Source organism: Homo sapiens, chromosome 20, assembly GCF_000001405.40.
Source record: "Homo sapiens chromosome 20, GRCh38.p14 Primary Assembly".
Classification (NCBI taxonomy): domain Eukaryota; kingdom Metazoa; phylum Chordata; class Mammalia; order Primates; family Hominidae; genus Homo; species Homo sapiens.
This window is the reverse complement of record NC_000020.11, coordinates 56,786,088-56,805,551: the sequence shown is the minus strand read 5'-3', so window position 1 is coordinate 56,805,551 and position 19,464 is coordinate 56,786,088. Positions and strand designations below refer to the sequence as shown.

At 48.2% G+C, this 19,464-nt stretch overlaps 5 annotated features.

Annotated features, from left to right (window-relative positions):
• Positions 40-911: an enhancer, noted in NCBI's record as "NANOG-H3K27ac-H3K4me1 hESC enhancer chr20:55379697-55380568 (GRCh37/hg19 assembly coordinates)". NCBI's record gives its function as "activates a minimal SCP1, AML or CMV promoter by ChIP-STARR-seq in naive H9 embryonic stem cells {active_cell/tissue: H9 hESC(naive)}" and the evidence as "EXISTENCE:reporter gene assay evidence [ECO:0000049][PMID:30033119]".
• Positions 40-919: a biological region, named in NCBI's record as "Sharpr-MPRA regulatory region 537".
• Positions 625-919: a silencer, noted in NCBI's record as "tiled region #537; K562 Repressive non-DNase unmatched - State 21:Repr". NCBI's record gives its function as "represses a minimal TATA promoter and a strong SV40 promoter by Sharpr-MPRA in K562 cells {active_cell/tissue: K562}" and the evidence as "EXISTENCE:reporter gene assay evidence [ECO:0000049][PMID:27701403]".
• Positions 15,673-16,431: an enhancer, noted in NCBI's record as "H3K27ac hESC enhancer chr20:55364177-55364935 (GRCh37/hg19 assembly coordinates)". NCBI's record gives its function as "activates a minimal SCP1, AML or CMV promoter by ChIP-STARR-seq in primed H9 embryonic stem cells {active_cell/tissue: H9 hESC(primed)}" and the evidence as "EXISTENCE:reporter gene assay evidence [ECO:0000049][PMID:30033119]".
• Positions 16,432-17,191: an enhancer, noted in NCBI's record as "H3K27ac hESC enhancer chr20:55363417-55364176 (GRCh37/hg19 assembly coordinates)". NCBI's record gives its function as "activates a minimal SCP1, AML or CMV promoter by ChIP-STARR-seq in primed H9 embryonic stem cells {active_cell/tissue: H9 hESC(primed)}" and the evidence as "EXISTENCE:reporter gene assay evidence [ECO:0000049][PMID:30033119]".

The window sequence follows — 19,464 nt, the reverse complement described above, 5'->3', positions numbered from 1 at the left end:
GTCTGTGTGTGTGTAGGGATCGGAGTGTGTGAGTGTGTCTGTGTGTGAGTGTGTCGGGGTTGGAGTGTGTGTCTGTGAATGTGTCTGTGTGTGAGTGTGTGCGGGAGGCAGTGTGTCTGTGAGTGTGTCTGTGTGTGAGTGTGGGGGGAGGGAGTGTGTGTGTGAGTGTGTGGGGGGAGGGAGTGTGTGCCTGTGAGTGTGTGAGGGGAGTGTGTGTGCATGTGCATAGGAATGAGAGTGTGTCTGTGTCTGTGTGTGTGTGTGACTGTGTCTGTGTGTGAGTGCATGAGCATGTGTGTGAGAGTGTGTGTGCACGAGTCCCACCAACCTTGGGGAACACTGGCCCAGAAGAAGCAAGTGTATGTGTGTGAGAAAGCATGTGTGTGCGTGTGTGTGTGAGTTCGCATTTTCTGGGTGTGTGTGTGTGTAGAGGGAGAGTGTTGTGTGAGACTGTGTTTGTGTATAAAAGTGTATGAGAGTGTGTGCTTGCATGTGAGAGTGTGTCTGGGTGTGCATCAATAACCATAAGGGTGTGTGTATGTGTGTAAGCGTCTGTGTGTGAGTATGTGGATGTGTGCTGAGTGCATTGGCAGTGCGAGAATGCGGGGAAATGTTTGTGTGAGGATTGTGCCTGCTTGTGTTGCACGGACCTGTTTTCCAGCAGCTACCAGACAGGTCGGGAGTGTGAATGGGCCGATTGTTAACCTCAGAGGCAGGGAAGGAAAGCAGCCTTTTGTCCTGCGGGGAGCTGAGAGCTAGGAATGCGAGATGCTAAAGGCAGCAGCTTGACGGTGGGGGCTCCCCTGTTCACGCAGACGCCTTGCCTGGGACTGCACACATTCCCAAGCTTGCCTGTTGCCTTGGAATTGACCCCACAGAAGGTGAAATGCTTTCTAAACCATGACTGATCAAATTGCTGTGTTTTACCTGCGTCACCATTTCCTAAATGTAGAAAAGCAGGCTTTTCTGGAAGAGGGAACGTGAGCCTTGCTGTGGGATAGACATCTGTTACGATTTTGATGAGCCGGGTTTACATAAGCCAAGTCATACAGTCGGCCCAAGAAAAAGGACGGGAAACACACGGGGCTCATGAGTTGACAGAGCTGTGAGTCAACAGGTCTCCACTGAGCACCCCCCGGATGGCGTGTGGAGGGAGAAGAAGGCTGAACTGGCCGGGCGCGGTGGCTCTCGCCTGTAATCCCAGCACTTTGGGAGGCCGAGGCGGGGGCGGATCATGAGGTCAGGAGATCGAGACCATCCTGGAAGGCCAAGGTGGGCAGATCACGAGGTCAGGAGATCGAGACCATCTTGGAAGGCCGAGGCGGGCGGATCACGAGGTCAGGAGATCAAGACCGTCCTGGCTAACACGGTGAAACCCCATCTCTACTAAGAATACAAAACATCAGCCGGGCGTGGTGGCGGCGCCTGTAGTCCCAGCTACTCAGGAGGGTGAGGCAGGAGAATGGCGCGAACCCGGGAGGCGGAGTTTGCCGTGAGCCGAGATCGTGCCACCGCACTCCAGCCTGGGCGATAGAGCGAGACTCCGTCTCAAAAAAAAAAAAAAAAAAAAAAGGCTGAACTGGTTATGATTGGTTTATAAAAATCAACAAATCAACACCTGGGACGATGAGTGTGGAGAAATTGATGTAATTTCTTTGGCATCGGTGGCTTTCTCATCTGTAACATGGGAATGTTGGTAACTTTTCATGGGACTCTTTAGAGTCTTTTTTTTTCTTTTCTTTTTGAGAAGGAGTCTTGCTCTGTCACACAGGCTGGAGTGCAGTGGCGCGATCTCGGCTCACTGCAACCTCCACCTCCCGGGTTCAAGTGATTCTCGAGTGTCTCAGCCTCCTAAGTAGCTGAGATTACAGGCGTGCACCACCAGGCCCAGCTAATTTTTGTATTTTTTGTAGAGATGGGATTTCGCCATGTTAGCCAGGCTGGTCTCCAACTCCTGAGCTCAAGTGATCCGCCCACCTCGGCCTCCCAAAGTGCTGGGATTACAGGCGTGAGCCACCATGCCCGGCCAACCACTGGAGTCTTAGACCTGTATGCATTCGCCCATCCATAAAAACAGAGGCTTGTGCTTATCACTTGGAACATGGCCTGGCCAGCAATAATGACTGCTTCCCGGGTAAGGATTGTCGTTATTTCTACTAAAAAAAAAATAGCACCTGAAAGCATAATTTTTGGATGCTAGTTGTGTTTTCACTACTATGCATTTTTGTAATAAAAATGTCCACCTGGGTACCAAATTACATTGGGGCTACCAGTCCCAGCCTAAGAACGGCAGCTCTCATAGGACCACCAACCTCGGGGAGCACTGGCCCAGACGAGGCAGGTGCGGGGCTCCCAAGGTGATGCTTTGGCGAAACGAGCCTCTCGGGGTCTCTTGCCTGAACCCACTTGGCGTGCCCCTCTCAGATCCTCTCGTGTTCCGTTCTCCTGCTCCTGTGCCCCCAACCCCCAGTTCCACCGTGGTTGTCTGCTCCTGTTAGCATTTCCCTCTGCCACGGTGAGATGCCGAGCGGCTGAAGGCCCCGTCAGTCCCTTTCCCACTACGCTGAGCAGGCGGATGAATCATTTTTGATTTTTTCCCCCTTCGCTGGCAAATCGGAGTTGTCAGCACTCAACTCAAAAAGCTGCCGTGGGGAACATCCCCGGGAGGTGGACGTTGTCAGGGCAAAGGACTTGTCGCCAAGGAGACTACAGCCCCCGAGCCCACTGATGGGGTGCAGCCTTGACCCCCTCCACAAAGGGGCCTTTGTTACATGATAGGGGCACCCCAATTTGTAGGCAACATGTGTCACAGGTGAGTTAGCTTCAGCCCTGCAGAAAATTCTCCCCATCATCAGAGCAGAGTTTTCCAACCCACTCCCTCCTTCGTCAAACAAATTGCTTCATGTGCCTTTAAGTCTAAAAATCACATTTAAATATTTGATTCGCTGCCATGAGCCGAGGAGAAAAACGTCTATTGATGGATGCTCTGATGAGCTATTTGGAGAATGTCTCCTCGCTGCTCACCCACACAATTGTGGACATGCCTCTTTCCACTCATGCGCTTTCAAGAAAGTAAAACAAACAAAATGCCAAAGAGCTCAAGGTGCACAGGCTGGTGGCAGGGATTAAGGTGTAGAGTTTGCAAGGAAGCCGCTGAATGATCCATTTTATACAGGTTTTGTCTGTTGATTTTACAGGGAGATTGTTTTTTTCGGTAAACATCATTACATGGCAGTGTGTGTTTTCATTTCTTTCCGGAGAAATGAAAGACATTTGTAGCTGAAGAGATAAACTCCCCGTGCTTTTCAGATTTTTTTTATTGAAGTACCAGGAACACGGCCAAGGAGAAATGAAATTCGAGTGCCCGGGAGATCGCCACAGCTCTGGACGGGGCTTAGGCCCACAAAGTCCTGGCCACCACGTGAGAAGAAAGTTTTTGAGAAGCAGCCATGCGAATCAACCCAAAAATTCCAAGTAAGAGCTGGGAATGAGGTACTCTATCAGGACACCCACTAGCCGACTTTCTCTTCATTTAATCCTGGTGGCTACACGTAACATTTCCATGTTCCTAGACCAAAAGGTCGGCCCTAAGCATTTGGCATTGTTAAAATTCCACCATACGTCAGGCACGGTGGCTCACACCTGTGATCTCAGCACCTTGGGAGGCTGAGGCAGGAAGATCGCTTGAGCCCAGGAGTTTGAGACCAGCTTTGCCAACATGGAGAAACCCCAACTCTATCAAAAATACAAAAAGTAGCCAGGTGTGATGGCATGTGCCTGTAGTCCCAACTACTTGGGAGGCTGAGGTGGGAGGACTGCTGGAGCCTGGAAGGTTGAGGCTGCAGTGAGCCATGATTGTGGCACTGCACTCCAGCTTGGGTGACAGAGTAAGAACCCATCTTAAAAAAAAAAAAAATATCCGGCCGGGTGCAGTGGCTCATGCCTGTGGTCCCAGCACTTTGGGAGGCTGAGGTGGGTGGATCACGAGGTCAGGAGTTTGAGACCATCCTAGCTAACACGGTGAAACCCCATCTCTACTACAAATACAAAAAAAAAATTAGAGAGGCGTGGTAGCGGGTGCCTGTAGTCCCAGCTACTCAGGAGGCTGAGGCAGGAGAATGGCGTGAACCCAGGAGGTGGAGCTTGCAGTGAGCTGGGATAGCGTCACTGCACTCAGCCTGGGCAATACAGTGAGACTCCATTAAAAAAAAAAAATCTACCATAGGCAACTGACCAGAAAATCTGTAGGGAAAGCAAATATTTCCTTTTCCTGTATTAGATGTGGCTGGAAGAATTTGTCTTCTTTCTTTTCTTTCTGATTTGATTTTTTTTTTTATGTTGAATGAATTCAGGACTCATGCTGCCTGGGAAACAGTGTTGGCCCACTCCCGGGATAGAGTCCCCTGGGTGTGCCTAAGCTACGTGTTTCACCCATGGCCAGAAAAGGCAGCCTTGGCCAGGTGTGGTGGCTCATGCCTGTAATCCCAGCACTTTGGGTGGCCAGTGTCTGTAATCCCAGCTACTCAGGAGGCTGAGGCACAAGAATTGCTTAAACCCAGGAGACAGAGGTTGCAGTGAGTCGGGATTGAACCACTGCACTGCAGCCTGGGCAACAGAGCAAGACTCCATCAGAAAAAGAAAAAGAAGAAGAAGGAGGAGGAGGAGGAAGAGGAGGAAGAAGAAAGGGAGAGGGAGAGGGAGAGGGAGAGGGAGCAGGAGCCCTGTGCTCCAAGCAGCTGCAGCCAACTGGGCAGGATGAGCACCGGACCAAAAGGGAGCCAACCCACTGACAGGGCTCATCCAATCAGGTTCCTTCCTCCAGCAATTGAACAGATCAGGTTAATGATGGAAGAAGAAGGGGAAGGGGCAGAGAGAGAGGAGAGAGCCCGCAGGGTCCCAGAGAAAAAGAAATAACAACTGCCCAGTTTCTGTAAGAACTGGGCCCATCCTTCCTGCCTTGAGTTCCATGAGATTTTGCCAGCTTCTTTCAGCAGACCCTCTTCTTACTTGAACTACCTATCTGGGTTCTGCTCCTTACAATTCAGAGACTTCACTGGAACAGGGAGGAATATAAATGACCCAAGTTGGGGCCTATGTGAGAGGCAGGGTTTCCCGAGGGAAGAGGCTCTGAAGGGAAGTCAGCCCATTTAAGGGAACCACAAACAACAAACATGCAAAAGACGGCCAACTTCACGAGAAGTTGGAGCAAGGCAAAGTAAAACAGAGAGGCAGCATTTCTGGTGACAGCAAGTACAGGTGTGAGTGTGGAGGAAATGGGAGCCCCCTTGCTGCTGGGAGGTGCATAAATTTGAGAATATCTTTTAAAATTCAAGACACATATGCTCTATGATCCAGTTCTTCTCCTTCTCCGTATCTACCCTGGAGACAAACTTGCAGAAACACTCAAAGAGGCAAGTACAAGGATGTTCATGGCAAAAACACAGATAATCTAAATGTTCTTCAGTAGCAGAAAGACTACAAAGTGGATTTTTCTATATCTGGAAATATGGTGGAAGGAGGAGGAGGAGATGGTGGTGATTATTATTATAAAAGAAGAATCAACATTTATTGTGCGAGGTGTTGTTTTCAGAACTTTACATGTCTCAGTTACTCTAATTAATCTATATAAAAACCCTAGTAAGAAAACACTATTATTACTTCCACTCTATGGATAAGAAACTGTGGCTTAAAATATAAATTGCATATTTAGCTGATGATTCTGAGGGTCAGCATTTTGGGCCAGGCTCAACTGGGCAGTTCTTTTGCTGATCTTGGGTGGGCTCCTCCAAGTGTCTGCAGTCATCTGCCATTTACCTAGGTGGCTCTGCTTCTGGGGCTTGCTGGCTATTGGCTAGGAAGCAGGAATCACTGGGCCATCTATCTCTCATTACCCAGCAGGCTAGTCTTGGCTTCTTCACGCTGGGGCCATAGCAGGGATCCTGAGAACACAGAAGGAAGCTTCATGCATACACTCTTCAAGCCTCTACTTAAGTCATGGCTGTTATTGTCCCATTGGCCAAAGCAAGTCATGTGTTCCAGCCAGATACATGGGGTGGATACCTCTTGAAAGTTCCTGCAAAGTCATTGCAAAGGGCACACAAACAGGGATGGGAAGAATCTGTGGCTGTTTTTGCAATCACCTCACTTGTGCAATCAAAAATCAATTCTTCCCAAAAAACTAAGCAAATTGTAAATAGACGATCGAGAACTTTTCAGGGTCAGGCTTTGGCTTCACCCTAACAGGTGAGGGATCTCTGGGCCATCTCCAGCCATGCCTCCACTCACTGTGCTCATGCTGTCCCTTGCTTTAAAATCCAGTTAAACCTTCAGCAGGAGCTGACACTGTCCACAACTTCTTCCTTCTGTGGCTTCTCCTAGTTTCTCTGCCACTTCTCCAGCCACTCCTTTTCTGTCTCCTTCACAAACTTATTCCTTCTATCCAGGAGATACACACATTTGTTTCTCCTACCTAAATCTCAAATCTGAACCCTATACTTGTACGTCCAACTACTTGATTGCCTTTTCCCATCTCTATTTGGCTGGCTCAAGGGACTTTATCAGCTACTGGTGCATAATAAACCATCCCTAAAATCCAGCTAGTTTGCTCATGATTCTGAAGTTAGTAACTCAGGCTGGAATTAGCTGGATAGTTATTTTGATCTTGGCTGATCTCATTCAAGGTCAGCTAGAGCCAGGTAGCCTAGGATGGGCTCAGCTGGGATGGCTCATCTTGCTCCATGTGGTCTCTCATCATTCAACAGGTCAGCATGAGCCTGTCCACTTGGAGATCCTGGAGGGCTCTAAAAGAGTTAGTGGAAGCTTGTAAGGACTCCTGAGACAGGCTTATAGCTGGCAGGGTGTCCCGTCTTCCACATCCTGCAGGCCAAACATGTCACAAGGCCAGCCCAGGGATGTGAAAATTGACTCCTCCATTCAATGGAGGAACTGCAAAGTCACATTGCAAAGGGGTGTGAACACTGGGAGAGAATAAGTGGGACCATTTGTGAAAGCCATCAACCACAGACACCTCAAACTCAACAGATTCAAAACTGAACTCAAGATCTTCCCCCAAAATCTGCACCTCTCCCAAAAGTCCACATCCCAAATAGTTTCACAGCAAAGAAAGAAATGCAGAAGTTATCCTTGACCCCTCTCTCTTCCTCACACTCCAGATCAAATCCATCATCTCCAAAATACCCCTTACATGTGTTTTTCTTTCTCCATCTGGCCCTTCAGTCCCTAAACAAAGACACAGACACCAGCATTTCATCTGATAGCTTCAGCAACCTCTTAATAGATCGCCCTCACCCATGTTGCCCCCTCCTGTAAATTCTATACTTTGTGGCCCTTGAGATTGTTATAAAGAACAAATCAAATTCCGGTACTTTCCTTCATAAAGTCCTTTAGCAGCTCCAGTCCCCTTAGCATGGCTTCATGCCTGTGAGATTTGCCTCAGCCCATGCCAGGACCCCGGGCTCCTTACAATCCATCCATGTGAGTCTGCTTTCAATTTCTCAGACTCATGTAGTGAATTGAATAATGTCCCCAAAAACATATGTCCAAGTCCTAACCCCCCATACTTGTGAATGAAACAATACTTGGAAAAAGGGTCTTGGCAGGAGTAATTCAGTTAAAGACCTTGATACAAGATCATCCTGGATTTAGGATGGGCCCTAAATCCAATGACTTGTGTCTTTTTTTTTTTTTTTTTTTTTTTTTTTTTTTTTTTTTTTGAGACAGAATTTCGCTCTCTCACCCAAGCTGGAGTACAGTGGCACAATCTCGGCTCACTGTAACCTCCGCCTTCCACTTTCAAGCGATTCTCCTGCCTCGGTCTCCTGAGTAGCTGGGATTACAGGTGCCCGCCACCAGGCCTGGCTAATTTTTATATTTCTAGTAGAAACAGGGTTTCACCATGTTGGCCAGGCTGGTCTCGAACTCCTGACCTCATCTGCCCACCTCGGCCTCCCAAAGTATTGGGATTACAGGCGTGAGCCACCGCGTCTGGCCGACTTGTGTCTTTTTGAAAGAAAGAAAAAGGAGGTTTGAGGCACCGGGACACAGGGGAGAAGGCCGTGTGAAAAAGGAAGAGACTGGAGTAAGGCGTCTTCAAACCATGGAACGCCAAGGGTTGCTGACAACCATCAGAAGCTGGAAGAGGCAAGGAAGGATCTTTCCCCTAGAGCCTCCAGGAGGAACATGGCTTTGCTGACACCTGGATTTCAGACTTCTGGCCTCCAGCACTGTGAGAGAATCAATATCTGTTGTTTTAAGCCACTAAGTTCATGGAAATTTGTTGTAACAGCTCAGGAAACCACTGTGGCATGTTAAGCCTCATCCCAGGGCCTTTGCCCTGGCTCTTCCCGTGGCCTGAAACGCACCTTCTGGGCCTGCTCACCTGTCTGGCCCCTATTTTCCTTCCTGCATGAGCTCATTTCATTGCAGCTTCAGGGAAGCCTCTTCTAACTTCCCTAAGGAGAATCCCTTTCATAGACTCTCTGGCACCATTTCTTCTCTTCTTTCCCCCAGCTTTATTAAGGCATAATGGACAAATACAAAATTATATCTATTTCATTTCTTCTCTTTCACAAGGCTTATGAGAGTTGCAATTTTTCATTTATCTATATCTGTGATTAATGCCTTTGTCTGTCTCCCAAGCTGAACTGCAGTTCCTAAGGGGGCAAGGATGGCAGCAACCTCCTGTTCACCTCTGAATTTCCACCACCAGCCCACAATGGATACCCAATAAATATGCAGAAAGCCAATGCTTGATGTCACTCACATTTTCCATTTTAAGTGAAAATTACAAATCACATGTGAAATAACTGGATCAATTAATAAAAAGAAATAAGAAAACCTAAAAGTCCCACCTGGCAGGCAGAAGCCAGAGATGAGGTGGGTGGGGATCAGCCCTGGGTCCTGCGGATCCTCAATCCTCCCAGGGCACAGGGTGACGCAACAGAAGTAGCTTCCTTTCTGTGCAGTATCTCAGAACTGATCTGCATACAAGCTTCCTCTCCTTATCAATGCTGTGGCCAACAGAGGTGCAATTGAAACTCTGATGGACCCATTCCAGAAACCTGGGCGGCATAGAAAGCTTGCCAGAGCAAGGCTTGGCCACTGCTGGGGAGGCACCTGATTAAAGGAGGTTCTTGTCTGTCCTTCCCCTGGGAGTCAGAGGGGGTCCTGGGCCAGCCAAGGTCATGGTCCCTCAGTGCTCCGGGAAGAATTACTTGGCAGCAGTTAGTATAGACCAGAAATAGTTACTGAGGCCCTACTGGGTGCCAGGCACAATGCTAGGGGCTAGAGAAACAGGAGTGAACTCATGAACTAAACTCCCAGCCCCAAGAAGAAACAGATGCCTATTAATCGATTATACAAGCAAATTAATAAACTATAGGTTTTAGACAGGGCATGGTGGCTCACGCCTGTAATCCCAGCACTTTGGGAGGCCAAGGCAGGTGGATCACTTGAGGTCAGGAGTAAGAGACCAGTCTGGCCAACAGAATGAAACCCCGTCTCTACTAAAAATACAAAAATTAGCTGGGCATGATGGCATACGCCTGTAATCTCAGCTACTCAGGAGGCTGAGACACTCGAGAATCGCTTGAACCCGGGAGGCGGAGGTTGCAGTGAGCTGAGATTGTGCCACTGCACTCCAGCCTGGGCGACAAAGTGAGACTCCATCTCAAAAAAAAAAAAAAATTGAAAAAAAAAAAACTATAGGTGGTGATAAGGGTATGACAGAGAGGTACTATCTACAAGGAGAGCATGTAATAGGATTATCAGACCTGGTTTAGGGAATCAAGAGAGGCTTCCTGGAGGAAGTGACATTTAAACCAATACTTAATGGACAGCCATTCCCAACCCCATTCTCCTTTACTCATTCCTTCTATCAAGGCTGCAAGAATTAAACACTTTCCCAGCCTCCACTGCAGCTGGGGTTGCCATGAACAATTGTGACTAATGAGATGCAAGCTGAAGTCAGCTGGCTCCACTGTCCTTCTTCCTGCCTTAAATGGGAATGAGATAGCTGGAGCTGAGGCAGCCGTCTTGTGACCCTGAGGGAACAGCAAAGAGAATCGCAGAGATAGCAGCCCCAAGTCACAGAACCAATACTAGAAACCAGCCGCCTCCAGATTTTTTGTTATGGGAGAAAAATATGTCTGTTTTTGTTTAAACCACTATAATTTTAGCCAAAAGCATTCCTAAGTGAAACAGGTCTCAAAGATGAGTAAGTTAATGAAGGAAAGAGTGGCAGGAAGAGTTTTCCAAAGAGGGGAAACAGGCTGGGCATGGTGGCTCACACCTGTAATCCCAGCATTTTGGGAGGCCAAGGCAGGCAGATCACTTGAGGCCAGGAGTTGGAGACCAGCCTGGCCAACATGGCAAAACCCTGTCTCTACTAAAAATACAAAAATTAGCCGGGCGTGGTGGCGGGTGCCTGTAATCCCAGCTACTTGGGAGGTTGAGGCAGAGAACCACTTGAACCTGGGAGGTGAAGGCTGCAGTGAGCCGAGATCGCACCACTGTACTGCAGTCTGGGTGACAGAGTGAGACTCCATCTCAAAAAAAAAAAAAAAAAAAAAAATGGTCAGGCACGGTGGCTCACGCCTATACTCCCAGCACTTTGGGAGGCTGAGGTGGGTGGATTACGAGGTCAGGAGTTCGAGACCAGCCTAACCAACATGGAGAAACCCCGTCTCTACTAAAAATACAAAAATTAGCTGGGCATGATGGTGCGCCCCTGTAATCCCAACTACTGGGGAGGCTGAGGCAGGAGAATGGCTTGAACCCAGGAGGCGGAGGTTGCTGTGAGCTGAGATTGCACCACTGCACTCCAGCTTGAGTGACAGAGCAAGATTCTGTCTTAAAAAAAAAAAAAAAAAAAAGGGAGGAAACAGAATGTGCAAAGGCCCTGGAGTGGAAAAACCCAGTAGGGGACCCAGAGAAGGTCAGTGTGTGGTTGAAGCTTAAAGGGGAGCGGGGAGGGGCATGGGCCATGAGGCTGGCGAAATTGGAAGAGCTGATAGGAGACAGCGAATGGTGGGATGTTAGCCAAGAGCACCATGGAGACTAGAAGAGTTTCAGACAAAGGAGTGACGGGAGATCAGGTTTTCTTTCCAGAAAACATCTCCCTGGCAGGTTCTGGGGAATAGACTGGAAGAAATCAAGGGTGGGAACTGAGACACCAATGATAACCGTGGCTGAGGGAGGGATGCTGGGATGGTGGGAGAGGTGGTGGAAATAGAGAGATCCTTCCAACCAGAGGTTCCCAAGCAGGGCCGGTACTGCCCTTGACATTTGGCAACATCTGGAGACATTTTTGGTTGTCACACTCTCGGGGAGGGTGCTGCTGGCATCTTGCGGGTTGAGGCTGGAGGTGCTGCTCAACATCCTACAATGTACAAGAGATGTTCCCACCGCACCCCAGCAGAGAATCATCTGGCCCAAAATGCCCAGAGTGTTGAGATCATCATGGTCATGGCCCCTCAGCACTCCGGGAAGAATTAATGTGTTTATATTGTGGAAGAAAACTGGACACATGTTGGAAAGATGGGAGGCTAGAGAGAAAAGTTCCAAAACCGGGGCCAGTTAGGAGACGGTGACCCTAATCCCAGCAAGAATCAGCATGGGGTGCAGACCACAAGCTGAGGTCAGTAGGGCTGGACCGCCCTCCCCGAGGCTGAGAATTCAGATTTCTAATCAGAAAGCACCCACAGCTGGGCTTACTAAGGGTAGAACATAGCTGGGAATGATCTAGGCCACAGCAGTGTGTCTGCCCAGCCCTTGTCCTTAAAGAGGAGGGTCCCAACTGCCATCCTGGTTGTCCATGCCCCCACCCTGGCCAAAGCAGACTGGACAAAGGGTGGGCAACAGACTCAAAATGAGTGATCGGCTCTCTTTCCCATGGACGGGCGCTGACCCCTTCTTCCAGTCATGGCATCTGATTGTGCTCTGGGCAACTTCCAGCCCACCAAGACTCTCAGTTATGATGTCCTCCCTCTCCAAGGCATGGGCACTGGCCCCAAGTTCAGCCAGACTCTCTCCTTGGAACTTGAATTTTGAGCAGCCTCAGAACGGATGGGAAATGCTGATTTTCATCCCAGCGGAGGTGCCCTGCGGGACTGTTCTTTGTGCCTGCTCTCTAGAGCCACAGCTCCCTCTGGAACTCCCTTTTGGAGTTTCTGTTTTTAGTTGGAGTTAGAGGCTACTACAAGTTCTCTTAATAAATTTCTTTTTTCAGCCAGGCACGGTGGCTCATGCCTGTAATCCCAGCACTTTGGGAGGCTGAGGTAGGCAGATCAGGAGTTTAAGGTCAGGAGTTTGAGACCATCCTGGCCAACATGGTGAAACCTCGTCTCTACTAAAAATACAAAAATTAGCTGGGCGTGGTGGCATACACCTGTAGTCCCAGCTACTCAGGAGACCAAAGCAGGAGAATCGCTTGAACCTGGGAGGCAGAAGTAGCAGTGAGCCAAGATCATGCCACTGCACTCCAGCCTCAGCAACAGAGTGAGACTCTGTCTTAAAAAAAAAAAAAAATTCCTTTTTTGCTAGTGTATTGGTTTCCTATTGGTGTGGGAACAAATTACTACTAACTCTGTGGCTCAAAACAACACAAATGTATTCTCCTACAGTTCTGGAGGTCTGAAGGACAAAATCAACCTCACTAGACTCAAGTCAAACATCAGTAGGGCTGCGTTCTTGCTGAAAACAGTGGAGAGAATCTGTTTCCTTGCCTCTCCCGGCTTCCAAAGGCCGCCTGCTTTCCCTGGCTCCTGGCTCCTTCCTTGCCTCCAGCACATCTCCTACTCTGGACTGACCCTCCTGCCTCCCCTTCGCAAGGACCCTTGCGATTCCGTGGGCCCACCTTAATAATCCAGGATAATCTCCTCATCTCAAAATCCTTAACTTGACCATATCGGCAAAGTCCCTTTGTAAGGTAAGATTCACAGGTTCTAGGAATGAGATCATAGACATCTTTGGTGGGGGTGGGGGAGGCATTATTCAGCCTAGAAGAGTCCATTTCTGTTGCTTGCAACTAAAGAATTCTGATTGATATGTCAAAAGTCACAAACCCAACCCCAAACTCTAAAGATACTGCATTTTGGCTGAAAGCAGTGGCTCACAACTGTAATCCCAGCACTTTGGGAGGCTGAGATGGGCAGATTGCTTGAGCTCAGGAGTTTGAGACCAGCCTGGGCAACATGGTGAAACCGTCTCTACAAAAAATACAAAAATTAGCTGAGCTTGGTGGTTCATACCTGTGGTCCCAGCTACTCAAGAGGCTGAGGTGAGAGAATCACTTGAGCCCAGGTGACAAAGGCTGCTGTGAACCATGATCATGCCACTGCACTCCTGCCTGGGCAACAAAGTGAGACCCTTTCTCAAAAACAAAAAAAAAAATTATTTTTTATTTGAATTAGAAAGTCTTAGGAGTGGTTTGAACCCCACAGTTCACTGAAGCCCTGAGACTTATTTTTGCCTACCTACCTAGTTGTTTAAGTTACCTGCCTAGCACCTGAGAGCACATTGGTTGCCATCCTATAACAGGTGTGCAGCTACGGGTTCCAAAAATTAGCCCGATGTCACTACCCGAATGCTTTAGGACGTGGCAGATGGATGTAGTGGGATCAGTGCCCCTCCTGGCAGCTCCAGCCAGACCCTCAGCTGAGCTTTGTAGGGGCAGCTGTGTCTTAATGGGAGGATGAAGGAACAGGAACAGGTGGAAGGAAGGAAGGAAGGAAAGAAGGGAGGGAGGGAGGAAGGGTAGATGAATGGATGGGTGGACAGATGGATAGAGGAGGATGGATGGATAAGGGAATCGATGGATGGATAGACAGATGGATAGAAAGAAAAGATTATCCAGTATTTACCAGAATGAGGCCTCAGAAGTAACAAAGCTATGGAAGAAAAAGCAAATACGATGTGTTTATGTTATACGCAGGAGTAAAAGGAGGTGGCAACTTTGCTGGTTTGGTCTGTGATTGAAACAAAAATTCTCTTGAAAACAAACCTCCAGTCAGTTTTGCTTCTGCAAAGCGAACAGGCTTATAACCTCATTACAAAGATAGTCCATGTCACCCACTCTCAGCCTCCCGGGCCATTCAGAAGATTTGGTCCAATGAACAAAGAACCTAGATAGGAAAGCGGCAGCAGGAAGAGGACAGAACCAAACCCTCTCAAAAAGCTATAAAAAAAAGCTCCAAGTTCAGGGAGGAAAAGTAATCATCCTGTAATTTGCTGTTCACTAATGGAATCTATTAATTTATAGCCACAAAAGAATCAGCTAATTTGTGGTTAATGGTGTTTAAAAGATAAACAACATAGATTAAATCTATGGAGCCCAACCCAGGTTCACCAGAATCTGTCTGCACAGAAAGCTCTGGATGGGGGAGAGATGAGCCCAGCCCCAGGCTGCGGTGGACAGTGGCGCTCAGAGGTCTGCTGGGAGCAAAAAGAGATTTGGGTGAAACAGGTAAGCCCGTCCTCCAAGGTACCACATGTAGTCCCAGAGGAGGCTTATTTACTCCATAGGTTTCCTGTAAAATTGCAAATCCTCTCCTCCCTGACACAACACCATCCCTGCTCTCTCCTGCAGGGACCACCCCACCCCACTGCAGCAGTCTCCCTAACCTGCCACATTCCTTCCCACCTCTGGCCCTTGCACTTCCTGCACATGTAGCTGGACGGCCTTTTTTTTTTTTCTTTCTTTCCTGGGAAAAATAATCCAGATTATGGAGAGTTAACTTACTGAATGTCCCCTTGGAGAAGAGGCATTTCACATAACCACATCTCAGAGATTCCTGAACATCTCCCGTGAGACTGCTCCTATCCCATTCTCAGCCCCATTTTACTGGTCAGAAAACTGAGGGCTAGAAAGGTGAAGCAGCTGGCCCAAAGCTTCACTGTACATGTGGGGTGGGTCTGAGATTTGAATCCATGTCTTTCTGCTTCCAGAATCTGAGGGCTAGACCAGCATTTCCCAAAACTTACTTTTTTTTTTTTTTTTTTTTGAGATGGAGTCTTGCTCTGTCACCAAGGCTGGAGTGCAGGGTCGGGACCGCTGTTCACTGCAACCTCCGCCTCCTGGGTTCAAGTGATTCTCCTGCCTCAACCTCCCGAGTAGCTGAGATTACAGGCATGCGCCACCATGCCTGGCTAATGTTTGTATTTTTAGTAGAGATGGGGTTTCACCATGTTGGCCAGGCTGGTCTCGAACTCCTGACCTTAAGCAATCCGCCCGTCTTGACCTCCCAAAGTGCTGAGATTACAGCCGTGAGCAACTGCGCCCAGCCTTACTCATTCTCATAACAACATTTTTGCCATGTCTGCTACCACCTATATGTATGATATTTGTTTAAATGGACTCCCTGCCACTTTTATTTTTTGTTAATTTTAGTTTCATCCTGAACAATGTTATCCAGGTCTGATAAGTTAATAACATAGTTGCTTCTAACATAAACTTGGAATAAATACCTGACTACTAAGATAAACATGTGCCTGTGTCCTGCCTTATAATCTTATAAACCTCAGTGGTTCAAGAACTACACACATTTTAACCACACATCCCAAAAAGTCATAATCACACGGTGTGTGTCCCGCTCACCATAGCCTGCATGCACTATCAAGTTCTAGCCTCTGTCAACCTTCTCCTGATATAAGCCACCCTTGAAAATGCACTGGGCCAGGCGTGGCGGCTCACGCCTGTAATCCCAACACTTTGGGAGGCCAAGGCGGGCAAATCACGAGGTCAGGAGTTCGAGACCAGCCTGGCCAACATGGTGAAACCCCATCTCTACTAAAAATACAAAAAATTAGCTGGATGTGGTGGCAGACACCTGTAATCCCAGCTACTGGGGAGGCTGATGCAGGAGAATCACTTGAACCCAGAAGGCAAAGTTTGCAGTGAGCTGAGATCAGGCCACTGCATTCCAGCCCAGGTAACAGTGAAAGACTCTGTCTCAAAAAAAAAAAAAAGAAAGAAAGAAGAAAGAAGAAAGAAAAGAAAGAAAGGAAGGAAGGAAAGAAAGGAAGGAAAGAAAGAAAATGTATCAAAAGCCCTCCTTTTTCCTGAAGGCCTCTTGACTCCTCCAGCCCAAAAGCGCCCCTCCCTTTGTTGACAGCTAGAAAATTCATGCCATGAGCAAGCCACAAAAAGACAGGATAAAAAACAGGATGTGGCTTTTGTTTCTTCAAGTAGACTGGAAGATCTTGGAGGATTATAAAAAAAAATGAAAACAAAACAATTCCTATACCTTGAAGTCTAAGCTCTGGGAAACAGAGATGGACGCACACAGCAGGTGCTCAATAAAGCCTGGGGGAAATGATGGATGTGGACACAGTACAGAGAGGGGGCCAGGCAGCACTTTCATGGCTAGGTTGGGGCCGGCCTGAATCATCCTTCCTCCTTTGCTAACAAGGGTCAAAACTTCACCTGGGGATGCTCCCTCCCTTCCCACAGCCCAGGGCTCCAGGATGGGCCTGGGACACAGCCTGCCCAGTCCATGCAGAAAATCCCCCTAGCTATTCCCATTGGTTCAGAAAGCGGGTCTGTTACCCAAACCTGGCTGAGGGAGTCAGGCCCAGCATTTTTGTTCAAATGGATGAGGATGGAGCAGCTCTTTCTTGCCAGCTTGAACCTGGGAGCCGTGGGCCTGGAAACACTGTCACCTTCCTGCTCCCACAGGGAGCCTGGGAGTTAGAACCCTTGTGGAAGAGGCAGAGACATAAGAGAGGGCAGGGCTTGGCAATGTGATTTGAGATCCTGGATCAAGACATTCCTGAAACAAGTTCTACCCTTGGATTTTTTTAGACAAACTTTTTTTTCTTGGCGTAAGCCTTTTTGAGTTGGGTTTTCTGTTACTTAGGCCCAAAAACACCCTGGAGGAACCCCTGACTAGGAGCCAGGGAAGCAGACTCAATTGTATCTGGGGTCTAAATGACCCTGGGTGAGTCATTTCATCTCACATGACCCTGCCCCAAAGAGGCCTTCCCTGACCATTCTTTCAACAGCAGCTTCCATCCCTCCCTACCGCTCACTTCCTTGTCCAGCCCCATCATTGCACAATATCACATTCCATATTCATGACCTTGTTTGCTAGTACTCTGCCTCCCTCACTGCGGTGTCCTCAGAACTCAGAATAAGGCTGGCATGCAGACACCTTCTGTAAATATTTGTTGCAGGATCTTGCCTCGGTTTCTGCAGCTGTAAAATGGGAGAGCAGTGCTGCGTTGTCCTCAGTAGCCTGCCATCAGGGCTGCATTCACTTCCTCCTTTCATTGCTGCCACCCAGGCCTCCGGGAACGTGGCACAAGGTCTCACCCAAAGGCGCTGGAGTGCCTCCCAGAAAACTACCTTTCCCACAGAGTAGAAAGTTTTATGATTTTCCTCCATTTCTTCCTCTGCCTACACAATCTCATTGACTAGAAAGTCCCTCTTGATGTCTAACCCAATATTTCATGCTGCAACCAAAGTCTATTTATGTGCATCTTTTCTGAGTTCTGGAGTTCAGCAGCTGGAGTGCTGACTTCCAGACATTCCCAGCCAAGTAAGAACACAAAAGAACCAGTTTAAAGTGAGAAGAAATCCAGTGAGAAAATAAAAATTCCTTTACCTAGGAGATGCCCTCATTTCCTTCCCATGACCAGCTTCTGACTCGTCAGAAAGCTCTTTACTTGTCTCCACACCTATGAACACAGCTCTTCCAGAGATGTGGGTACAGAAGATGAGAGTAAAATAAATAAACTATCTGTTTAATCATTCTTATTGCCAAAACAACGGCTGAGCCAAAATACCGAGGCTCTGATTCATCCCAACTGACGTCCGTTCTAGGGAGGAGGCAGGAGGCAGGGAAGTAAGAATTTTTAAACCCGTTTTCCAGATGAATTCAGAGGAGGCTGGGACGTTCCACAGCGCCAACCCCACAGTAAGCAACAGAAGCGAACCACTTTCTCTTTGTGGTCGAGGATCTGTCTTCTCTTCATTTAAATAGGGCAGAATTCAGTGGCTCGCACCTGTAATCCCAGCACTTTGGGAGGCTGAGGCAGGTAGATCACTTGAGGTCAGGAGTTCGAGACCAGCCTGGCCAACATGGTGAAACCCTGTCTCTACTAAAAATACACAAAATTAGCCGGGTGTGGTAGTGGCGCCTGTAATCCCAGCTACGCAGGAGCCTGAGGCAGGAGAATCACTTGAACCAGAAGGTGCAAGTTGCAGTGAGCCGAGATTGCGCCACCGCGCTCCAGCCTGGGCGACAGAGCAAGATTCCATCTAAAAAATAAATAAATAAAAATAAAAATAGGCCGTCGTTGTGGCTCACGCCTGTAATCCCAGCACTTTGGGAGGCTGAGGCAGGTGGATCACCTGAGGTCAAGAGTTCAAGACCAGCCTGGCCAATATGGTGAAACCCCGTCTCTACAAAAAATACAAAAATTAGCCAGGCTCAGTGGCAGACACCTGTAGTCCCGGCTACTCAAGAGGCTGAGGCAGGAGAATCGCTTGAACGTGGGAGGTGGAGGTCACAGTGAGCTGACATTGCGCCACCACACTCCAGCTTGGGTGACAGAGGGAGACTCCATCTCAAAAATAATAATAACAATAAAAATAAAAATAAAAATAAATGGGGCAGAATTCAAAGGAAGATACACAGTACCTAGGATGCAGATTTCATCATTCATTCACTCACTCATTCATTCATTCAAGAAAATGAAAAGCCTCGACTGAGCACCTTCCCTGTGCCCCAAGCTGGCTGTCTTCCCAAGTCACCTTGCACCTTCCCCACCCCTCTGGGGGAGGAAAGTCAGGAATCATCCACCCATTGGCTGAGTCGGGAGGCTGAATGACGTAATTGTTGAAAACATTGTTCCTAGTCTGTTCTTTGTCTTTTAATTTTATTTGTGGTGTTTCTTGACGTCCAGGGATTGTTAATGTTCATATAGTCAAATCTTTATGTCTTTCCTTTGAGGACTCTGGCCTGAGATACCTAGAAAGGGCTCCATGGGGAGTAACATTTAGAGCCATATTTAAGGCCATACGTCATGAGCAGTCAGGGGGTCCAAGGAGGCGATCCTGGCTCATTCGTTCATTTTACAAATGAAGAAACTGAGGCTCCATGGTGAGTAGGCAGCCCTGCCAGAGTCCAGGATTCTACCCAGGGCTCTTTCTGCACATAATGAGTTGCTCAGAGACCCTTATAAAAGTTAAGAAAAGACAGAGGGCTCTCCACCTCCCAGGCTGCATTGCCGAGTGACTGACACAGCTTCTGTGAAGCCAGAGGCCATCTCATTCGCCCTATAAATTCCGTGTCATCTGCTTTGCTCTGAATATTCGTTCAACTGTCCCGCTGTGGCTATGGGCCCTCAAACCCATTCCCCTGAAGGCCCTTCTAGGCTTATGAAGGCAGACACCACCAGGGAAAACATGAAGAGTCAACATAAGCATCCAAAATTCCAGGGACT